Source organism: Homo sapiens, chromosome 22 (assembly GCF_000001405.40).
Source record: "Homo sapiens chromosome 22, GRCh38.p14 Primary Assembly".
Classification (NCBI taxonomy): domain Eukaryota; kingdom Metazoa; phylum Chordata; class Mammalia; order Primates; family Hominidae; genus Homo; species Homo sapiens.
Window position 1 is genome coordinate 43,097,877 of NC_000022.11, and position 11,181 is coordinate 43,109,057.

General features: G+C 49.5%; 1 annotated feature.

Annotated features, from left to right (window-relative positions):
* Nucleotides 3,387-3,681: an enhancer, noted in NCBI's record as "tiled region #7153; HepG2 Activating non-DNase unmatched - State 3:PromF, and K562 Activating DNase unmatched - State 5:Enh". NCBI's record gives its function as "activates a minimal TATA promoter and a strong SV40 promoter by Sharpr-MPRA in HepG2 and K562 cells {active_cell/tissue: HepG2 | K562}" and the evidence as "EXISTENCE:reporter gene assay evidence [ECO:0000049][PMID:27701403]".

The window sequence follows — 11,181 nt, forward strand, 5'->3', positions numbered from 1 at the left end:
CCCAGCTACTTGGGAGGCTGAGGCAGGAGAATGGCGAGAACCCAGGAGGCGGAGCTTGCAGTGAGCTGAGATCGTGCCACTGCACTCCAGCCTGGGTGACAGAGCGAGACTCCATCTAAAAAAATAATAATAATAAAAAAAATAAATAAAAGAAGAAGAAGAAGAGAGCTGAACCTCTGATCCTCTTCACTGGACCTAAGCTCGGCCCTCCAGGTCCCTGGGCCTTGGTTTCTCCATCAGGAAGGAGCCATGCACCCCACCTTGCAATGCTGTTGAGGAGGCAGAATTGAAGACAGCAAACTGTGCCAGGAATGTGGGTCTTGACTTCAGTGAGCCCTCCTTGCTCCCTCCGTCAGGCGCACTGCACACCTCACCCCCAGACAGCGCCGGAGGCAGTACTCACAGCTGAGGGAGCCAGGGAAGGGCAATGGGGCAACAGGAAGGCAGGGTGGTGTTGGCGAGAGATGGCGGAAGAGTTCCTGCTGGGCTTATGTAGTCCCAACATTTTTGGAGGCTGAAGCAGGACGATTGCTTAAGCCCAGTAGTTGGAGGCTGCAATGAGCTATAATGGCACCACTGCTCTCCAGCCTGAGCCACAGAGTGAGACTCTGTCTCAAAAAAAAGAAAAAAAAAGTTTCTGTCAATCATTTAAGCTCCCAGCCCCAACAGGAAAGGCAGGAAAATGAGAACTAAGGTCTGGTTTACATCAGGACGTCCACTTGACCCCACAGCAGTCCCTTTTAGGTTTTCCCTGTTTAGCACAGAAGGAACCTGAGGCTCACAGACATGTAGAGGCTGGCCCAGGCCCAGAGCTTGTCTGGGGCCAACACAGTCCTGGCCCGGACCCTGTAGAATATCTGCCTGGTCCAGCTGGGCACGGTGTCTTATGCCTGTAATCCCAGCACTTTGGGAGGCCGAGGTGAGTGGATCACGAGGTCAGGAGATCAAGACCATTCTGGCCAACATGGTGAAACCCCGTCTCTACTAAAAATACAAAAATTAGCTGGGCATGGTGGTGCGTGCCTGTAATCCCAGCTACTCAGGAGGCTGAGGCAACAAGAGCGAAACTCCGTCTCAAAAAAAAGAAAAAAAAAGAAAGAAAGAAATTGAAACTTGGACACACCTGAGTTCAAACTGGGGTTGTGCAGGAGGGCTGACCCTGGCTGAAGTCAGCTTCCGCGTCTGTGAAATGGGCTCATGCTACACACTTCACCAGGTTAGAGAGAAGCAGAAAAATAACACTAACCCTGCAAATGCTTCACAGGCAGCTGAGACAAGGGCTTCCACCCACCTCCAGGTTCCAGGTTCCCACTGGGGCCTCCTGTCTGGAATTCTCTAGCCCCTGCAGTTCCCGGCCTTACCCCCTGCAGCCAACTTGGCTGGTAGCTCCCTTCCTTCCGAGGCAAAGAGCCAGGCTAGCTTTTGCTGCTACATGTCAACACTCAGACTTTGTCTTCCTCACCTTGGCTCGCTCACAGGAGTCCTTCTATCTAGAATGTCCTAAATGAAATACATATCTGGGTCATTTTTTTTTTTTTTTTGAGACAGGGCCTCACTCTGCTGCCCAGGCTGGAGTGCAGTGGCGCAGTCTTGGCTCACTGCAGCCTCCACCTCCCAGGTTCAAGTGATTCTCCTGCCTCAGCCTCCCGAGTAGCTGGGAATACAGGCGCCCACCACCATGCCCGGCTAATTTTTGTATTTTTAGTGGAGATGGCGTTTTGCCATGTTGGCCAGGCTGGTCTTTTTTTTTTTTTTTTTTTTTTTGAGACGCATTTTCACTCTGTTGCCCAGGCTGGAGTACAGTGGTGCCATCTCGGCTCACTGCAACCTCCACCTCTTGGGTTCAAGTGATTCTCGTGTCTCAGCCTCCAGAGAAGCTGGGATTACAAGCATGCGCCACCCTGCCTGGCTAATTTTTGTATTTTTAGTGAAGAGAGGGTTTAACCATGTTGGCCAGGCTGGTCTCGAACTCCTGACCTCAAGTGATCCGCCTGCTTTGGCCTCCCAAAGTGCTGGGATTACACGTGTGACCTACCATGCCCGGCCCAACCATGCACTTTTTTTTTTTTTTGAGACAGAGTCTCACTCTTGTCACCCAGGCTGGAGCGCAATGGTGCAATCTCGGCTCAGTGCAACCTCCGCCTCCCAGGTTCAAGTGATTCTCCAGCCTCAGCCTCCTGAGTAGCTGGAACTAGAGGCGCATGACACCATGCCCAGCTGATTTTTGTATTTTTAGTAGAGATGGGGTTTCACCATGTTGGCCAGGATGGTCTTGATCTTCTGATCTTGTGATCCACCCGCCTCGGCCTCCCAAAATGCTGGGATTACAGGCATGAGCCACGGTGCCCGGCCCTGCCCCACATTTTAAATGTTTTGAGGTATTCACCAGACTGCCCTCCTAAGAGGGTGTGTCCGTGTGTATTTCCAGCACAGGCTGACAAGACGGCCAGGCTCCTGCCTATCTGACAGGCCATCAAAGGATGAAATACTGAGAGCATTGTTGCTGCTTTTCTTTGCATCTCTTTCATGATTCGTGGGGACATGGTAACATAAACTTCCTGGGGCAAAAGAGATATGACTATTACAGAACTTCAAAAGAAATGGTTACTCACGAGAGGGGAAAATCCCAGCATGCTGTATCTCCTGAGTCTTCCTCATTCTTCGAGGCAGGAGAAGGAAAGTTGGAGAGAGTGGTGAAACCAGGAGACCTGTGGGCCTGGAATGAGAAATTGGGTCCTCCCATGGCCCACAAGACCTCAGGGCATCATTTTGCCTGTCTGGCCTCAGTTTCCTCTCCTGTAAAGTGGCAACAGCAGAAATTGTCTCTTAAGGTTGTTGTGGAGATGAAAAGGGATGGAAAAATCCACTCATTTGTGCAACAGACATCTACTGAGGGTCCGCTTTTTGGGGTGCAGAGGAGCAAAAATGTACACCCGTGTTGGGGCTGATAGACCAGGGGAAGGTTGGCTAGAAGAGATTCTTCCCAGCCAGGCACAGTGGCTCAGGCCTGTCATCCCAGCACTTTGAGAGGCTGAGGCGGGTAGATCACCTGAGGTCAGGAGTTCGAGACCAGCCTGGCCAACATGGTGAAATCCCGTCGCTACTAAAAATACAAAAATATTAGCCAGGCATGGTGGCGGGCGCCTGTAATCCCAGCTACTTGGGAGGCTAAGGCAGGAGAATGACTTGAACCCAGGAGGCAGAGGTTGCGGTGAGCCAAGATCGCACCATTGCACTCCAGCCTGGGCAACAAGAGGGAAACTCTGTCTCCAAAAAAAAAAAGGAGATGAAGAGGTCTTTCCCAGAGTGCCCTGAGAGCAGAGGTGTGGGTGGCGGCCACTGCCAATTCCATGGCCACCCCATCCTCGTTGAGGGTGCAGGTTGAACCCCAGGAGCTGCCAGAGCTGCTATTGTTTTGAAAATATCTGCTATCACTCTGATAAGCTCAGTTGTCAGAAGGGATGTTATTTCTGGGCGAAAGGAGGTTCCGCAGGACTGGAGGTCCTTCCTGCTTACACCACATGGGCCTAGCCCCTCCCATCAGACCCGGCTTGGGTGATAATCTGGGGCCTTGAGCCTGCTCCTGGCAGGGACAGCAGTGGCCATCACTGTAGGACGTCTCCGGACTGCTGCCCAAGGCCTCCGCAATGCTGCAGGAGCTGAGATCACCTCTTTTCTGACCCTGGATTCCTGGAATTGTCTCACAGAATGGAGGCCTGTTCTCCATCCTCCTGACAGGCCACAGTAGATTATGTTGGTCACACTAGCCATTTGGATATCTGGCCCAAACGTGTGTCTGTTACATGGCTGTGGCACTGAGCTGAGAGGCCTGGCGGGTTGAGCCTCCATAATTTGCTCTGAAATGCACTGGTCCTGTTTTCAGTTACATTATTCTTGTCACCTGCAAAGCTGGCCTCTCAGATCTCACCATGGCCTTGGCCTACCAAGCACCCTGGCAGCTGTGAATCCAGATCTGGATTAAAATCCTTGATGTTGACTATTTCAAGTTTGATCCACTGGGCTTTGCTTTGATTTTATTGTTTAGTATTGAGTTTTAATTGATATACCCAAAAGTGCACAGATCCTAAGCATTCAGTTCAATGTATGTTTGCATACATATGTACCCCTGCAGCCACCATCTGTGTTACCCCAGAAGCTTCCATCATGCCCCTTCCCAGCCAATACCCATCCCCACCCTGGAGAGGGAGTCACCGATCTCACATCTAATGCCGTAGATTAGTTGTGCCTAGTTATGCCTAGTTATGAACGTCATAGAAATGGAATTACAGCATGCTTTATTTTGTGTCCAGCTTCTTTTTTTTTTTTTTTTCGAGATGGCGTTTCGCTCTTGTTGTCCAGGCTGGAGTGCAGTGGCACGATCTTGGCTTACTGCAACCTCCACCTCCCTGGTTCAAGCAATTCTCCTGCCTCAGCCTCCCGAGTAGCTGGGATTACAGGCGTGCACCACCACACCCGGCTAATTTTTGTGTCTTTAGTGGAGACAGGGTTGGCCAGGCTAGTTTCAAATTCCTGGCCTCAGGTGATCCACCTGCCTTGGACTCCCGAAGTGTTAGTATTACAGGCGTGAGCCACCGCACCTGGCCTCGTGTCTGGCTTCTTTCATTCAACATAATGTCTGTAAAAAAAAGTTAAAGCCGGGCGCTCACGCCTGTAATCCCAGCACTTTGGGAGGCCGAGGCGGGCGGATCACAAGGTCAGGAGATCGAGACCATCCTGGCTAACACAGTGAAACCTCCTCTCTACTAAACATACAAAAAATTAGCCAGGCATGGTGGCACACGCCTGTAGTCCCAGCTACTTGGAAGGCTGAGGCAGGAGAATGGCTTAAACCCAGGAGGTGGAAGTTGCAGTGAGCCGAGAATGCGTCACTGCACTCCAGCCTGGGAGACAAAGTGAGACTCTGTCTCAAAAAAAAAAGAAAATATATATATATACACATATATATATACACACATATACATATATATACACATATATACATATATACACATATATACACATATACATATATACACATATACACATATATACATATATACATATATACACATATACACATATATACATATATACATATATACACATATACACATATATACATATATACACATATATACATATATACATACATACACACATATATATACATATAGAGAGAGAGAGAGAGAGAGAGACTGAGAGAGAGAGAGGGCTGGGCACGATGGCTCATGCCTATAAACTGAGCACTTTGCAAGGCTGAAGCAGGTGGATCACTTGACGTCAAGATTTAAGACCAGCCTGGCCAACATGGTGAAACCCTGTCTCAATAAAAAATATAAAAACTATCCAGGTGTGGTGGTGGGTGCCTGTAATCCCAGCTTCTCAGGAGGCTGAGGAAGGAGAGTCGCTCAAAGTGGGGAGGCAGAGGTTACATTGAGCCGAGATCACGCCACTGCACTCCAGCCTGGGTGACAGAGCGAGACTCTGTCTCAAAAAAAAAAAAAAAAAAAAAAAAAAAAGAGAGAGAGAGAAGCTGTGAAGCCTCAGCAGAAGCTGTTCTTTTGTGTTCGTTTGCTTTTGAGCTGGAGTCTCACCCTGTCACCCAGGCTGGAGTGCAGTGGCACGATCCTGGCTCACTGCAGCCTCCACCTCCTGGGTTCAAGCAATTCTTCTGCCTTAGCCTCCCAAATAGCTGGGACTACAGGCACATGCTGCCATGCCTGGCTAATTTTTTGTATTTTTAGTAGAGATGGGGTTTCACCACGTAGCCCAGGCTGGTGTCAAACTCCTGAGGTCAGGTGATCTGCCCGCCTCAGCCTCTCAAAGTGTTGGGATTACAGGCGTGAGCCACTGCACCCGGCCCAGAAGTTGTTCTTAACTGTTGTTCAAGGAGAAGCCTATCGGGGGGAAGAACCAAGAGAGGGACAGAGGGAGGAAATCACCCAAAAATAGATGTGTCTCTTTGGCCCTAATGCACACAACATGCATGCATTTCTTCAACAGCTATACAGCTGGGCATGGTGGCTCACGCCTGTAATCCTAGCATTTTGGCGTAGGGTCCAGCCCTACTGGGCCTTGTGGGTTTTCTCGTCGTGTGCGGAGACATAGAAAGAAAGACACAAGAGTAAGAGAGAGTATGAAAGACAGCTGGGCCCAGGGGGCCACTACCACCAATGCACGGAGTCCGGTAGTTGTTCCGAATGCCTGGACGCACTGCTATTTATTGTATACAAGGCAAGGGGGCAGGGGAAGGAGAGTGAGTCATCCCAAGTGATTGATAAGGTCAAGCAAGTCACGTGTCCACGTGACAGGGAGCCTTTCCCTTTGTGGTTGCTAAAGCAGAGAGGGAGGATAGCAGACGTCAGCGTTTTTTCTATGCACTTATCAGAGAGATCAAAGACTTTAATACTTTCACTAATTCTGCTACTGCTATCTTCTAGGAACTTAAAAGAGGCACCAGGTGTACAGGCGGGACATGAAAGTGAACAGGGAGCGTGACCACTGAAGCACAGCACCACAGGGAGACGTTGAAGCTTCCGGATGACTATGGGCAGGCCCGAGTCATGTCAGGCCTCCCACAAGAGCTGGTGGAGCAGAGTGTTCTCTAATTCCCCCAAGGAAGGGGAAACTCCCTTTCCTGGTCTGCTAAGTAACGGGTGCCTTCCCAGGCACTGGCGCTACCACTAGACCAAGGAGCCCTCAAGTGGCCCTTATCCGGGTGTGACAGAGGGCTCACACTCTTGTCTTCTGGTCACCTCTCACAATGTCCCTTCAGCTCCTGACTCTGTATGGCCTGGTTTTTCCTCGGTTATTATAATAATAATAATAATACAAAGATTAATACTAGAAACTAATGATTGATAATATCCATATATAATCATCTCTATATCCTATTTCTAATATAACTTTCTCTTATCCTATTTTCTTTATTATATTGGAACAGCTTGTGCCTTCAGTCTCTTGCCTCTGCAACTGGGTGGCTTTCTGCCCACACTTTGGGAGGCCAAGGCAGGCAGATCACCTAAGGTCAGGAGTTTGAGACCAGCCTAGCCAACATGGCAAAACCCTGTCTCTACTAAAAGTACAAAAATTAGCAGGCTTGGTGGCGCATGCCTGTAATCCCAGCTACTCAAGAGGCTGAGGCAGAAGAATTGCTTGAACCTGGGAGGTGGAGGTTGCAGTGAGCTGAGATTGCACCATTGCACTCCAGCCTGGGTGACAAGAGGGAAACTGTTTCAAAAACAAAAAACAAACAAAAAAACAAAAAAACAAACCAAAAAACCCCCAGCTATTTACTGAGCACCTACTATATGAGCGGCGCAGGATGAGTCTGGTTTAGATTCTAGTGGGGGATGGGAGTCAGACAATAAGCAAATAGACAGGTGACTAAATATGTAAGAGAGCAGAAGGTGCTGTGGAAGAAAGTAAAATAAGCAGGAGAAGAAGGGAAGCAGTAGCCCCACCACCAGCCTCGGACAATAGTGAAGATCACTTGGCATTGGGTCTGACATCCTGCCAACATCCTTATGAGTTGTGTATCGCAATCTCCATTTCCCAGAGAGTGTGGGAAAGACAGCCTCTGATGCACGAGGCTGTGCTCAAGCTCACACAGCTGTGAAGGGCAGCCTCCACCCCTCATGTCAGGTGCAGTGTCTATGCCCCTCCACCCTACAGCTCAGTTGGCCTCTCAAAGCCTCAGTCTCCTCACCGATAAACTGGGAATGTAATAAAGTTTCCTAGGCTGGGCGCAGTGGCTCACACCTGTAATCCCGGCAGTTTGGGAGGTGGAGGTGGGCTGATCACTTGAGGCCAGGAGTTCAAGACCAACCTGGCCAACACAGTGAAACCCCATCTCTACTAAAAAATACAAAAATTAGCCGGACGTGAGGTGCGTGCCTATAATCTCAGAGCCTTGGGAGGCTGAGGCGGGAGAATCGCTTGAACCTAGGAGGCGGAGGTCGCAGTGAGTCAAGATCGCACCACTGCACTCCAGCCTAGGCGACAGGGTGAGAATATGTCTCAGAAAAAAAAAAAAAAAAAGGGCTGGGCGCGGTGGCTCACGCCCATAATCCCAGCACTTTGGGAGGCCAAGGTGGGCGAATCACGAGGACAGGAGTTCGAGATCAGTCTGGCCAACGTGGTGAAACCCCATCTCTACAAAAAATTAGCCAGGCTTGGTGGCAGGCGCTTGTAATCCCAGCTACTTGGGAGGCTGAGGCAGGAGAATCGCTAGAACCTGGGAGGTGGAGGTTGCAATGAGCCAAGATTGTGCCATTGCACTCTAGCCGGGGCGGCAATGCGAGACTCAGTTTAAAAAAAAAAAAAAAAGTTTTCAGAGGATGTACAACAGCTCTGTCCATGGAGGGCCTCACAGCTTCGGAGCTGAGTCCAGGCTGGGTGTGCAGAATGCCAGCTGACGGATGTACTGCTGGCCAGCTGTGGGTCGGGGGGCAGCCTGGGTACGCCAATCAGTTGGACGGAGGCTGCAATACCTCTATTTAGGAGCCCTGGGCACTCTCGGAGACAATGGGCATTATTTTCCCTTCAATACCCCTCCGCATGGCTGCTAGATTCCAATTCCTTAACCTCTTGTTCCTTTCCAGCTCAGTGTCCTTCCATAGCTCCCCAGTACCGACAGGATAATTAGGCCACATTCACCTTTCTATTCTGGTTGGAATCCAGTCCCTTCTTTGAATTCCCCTCAAATATCTCCTCCTCCATGAAGCTTTCCCTGATATATTTGTGTCCTCTGTGGGAGCCTGGCGCTTAGTTTTCCCTTGCTTGACGCCACAGTCACTTTCTGTCTGTCCCTGCATTGCCACTGTCTTGAAGGTAGGCATTTGGCATTGTCTCTGGCTTGGCTCTGGCTTCAGTTAAGACCAAACATAGTTTTCTTCCTCTTCTAAAAAAAGATAATGTTTTTGCACGTTTATCTAGACAATCCGGAAAATACATGAAAACACAAGGCAGAAAACTAAACCACGGCTGGGAGCGGTGGCTCATACCTGTAATCCCAGCACTTTGGGAGGCCAAGGTGGGCGGATCCCTTGAGCCCAGGAGTTCCAGGCCAGCCTGGCCAACATGGTGAAACCCTGTCTCTACTAAAAATACAAAAATTAGCTGGGTGTGGTGATGCACGCCTATAATCCCAGCTACTCAGGAAGCTGAGGCACAAGAATCACTTGAGCCCAGGAGGCAGGGGTTGCAGTGAGCCAAGATCACGCCACTGCACTGCACTCCAACTTGGATGACAAAGTGAGACGCTGTCTCCAAACAAAAACAAAAACAAAAACAAAAAAACAAACTAATAGGACCAGGCGTGGTGGCTCACACCTGTAATCCCAGCACTTTGGGAGGCCGAGGTGGGCAGATTCCCTGAGGTCAGGAGTTCAAGACCAGTCTGGCCAACAGGGTGAAATCCCGTCTCCACTAAAAATACAGAAAAAAAAAAAAAAAAAAAAAACATTAGCCGGGCGTGGTGGTGCATGCCTGTAGTCCCAGCTACCCTGGAGGCTGAGACAGGAGAATCTCTTGAACACAGGAGGCGGAGGTTGCAGTGAGCTGAGATGGCATCACTGCACTGCAGCCTGGGTGACAGAGTGAGACTCCATCTCAAAAACAAAACAAAACAAAAACAAACAAACAAAAACTCAATACACCTGTATTAGTATTGAGTTTAATTGACATACCAAAACATGCACAGTTCCTAAGCATTCAGCTGTTTGCATACATATGCACCCCTGCAGCCACCATCTGTGTCACCCCAGAAAGTTCCATAATGCCCCTTCCCAGCCAATACCCATCTTCACCCTGGAGAGGGAGCCGCCAATGTCACCTCTAGCGCCATAGATTAGGTGTGCCTGGTAATGAACTTCATGATGCCCAGAGATGACTACTATTCCCATTTTGCTGTGCTATATTTCCTTCCAGACTTTCACACATGGATTTTTTTTTTTTTTTCTTGAGACAGAGTCTCGCTGTGTTGCCCAGGCTGGAGTGCAGTGGCACAATCTCGGCTCACTGCAAGCTCCGCCTCCCGGGTTCACGCCATTCTCCTGCCTCAGCCCCCTGAGCAGCTGGGACTACAGGCGTCCACCACCACACCCAGCTAAATTTTTTTGTATTTTTAGTAGAGATGGGGTTTCACTGTGTTAGTCAGGATGGTCTCGATCTCCTGACCTTGTGATCTGCCTGCCTCGGCCTCCCAAAGTGCTGGGATTACAGGCACCTGCCACCTTGCCCAGCCATACATGGATTTTTAAAGAATATAGGATTCTAATGGACACAGTGATTTATACAGCATGCCATTTCATTCAATAGATCATGCGATCATGCATCTCCAAGACAGTTTCCTTCGTGAGCTTTTTTTTTTTTTTAGACAGAAGAATCTTGCTGTGTTGCCCAGGCTGGAGTGCAGTGGCACGATCTTGGCTCACTGCAATCAAGGCCTCCCAGGTTCAAGCAATTCTCTGCCTCAGCCTCCCAAGTAGCTGGGACTACAGGTGAGTGCCATCACACCCGCTACTTTTTTTTTTTTTTTTTTGAGACAGAGTTTCACTCTTGTTGCCCAGGCTGGAGTATAATGGCGTGGTCTCAGCTCACTGCAACCTCTGCCTCCCTAATTCTCCTGCCTCAACCTTCTCGAGTAGCTGGGATTACAGGCATGTGCCACCCCGCCCAGCTAATTTTGTATTTTTAGTAGAGATGGGGTTTCTCCATGTTGGTCAGGCTGGTCTCAAACTCCTGACCTCAGATGAGCCGCCTGCCTTGTCCTCCCAAAGTGCTGAGATTACAGGCGCAAGCCACCGCGCCTGGCCTAGTTTTTTAATTTTTAGTAGAGATGGAGTTTCGTCATGTTGGCCAGGCTGGTCTCAAACACCTGACCTCAGGTGATCCACCTGCCTTGGCCTCCCAAAGTGCTGGGGTTATAGGCGTGAGCCACCATGCCCAGCCATCTCTTCCTCCTTTTGATCAGCATATTGTCTTGGGATTTTGCAAAGTAAATAAGTACTGTATTTGCACCCACTCTGCCCTTGAATCATCCAGTGTCCCCAAACGGTCCTTCTTTCTCCATCTTTTCTGCTAATGTTTACTGAACATCTCCTACATACCTGGCACTGTGCCTCCAGCCTTAAGACCCCTCTGCAAGCATCTCACATATATCAGGTCTTTCGGACCCAT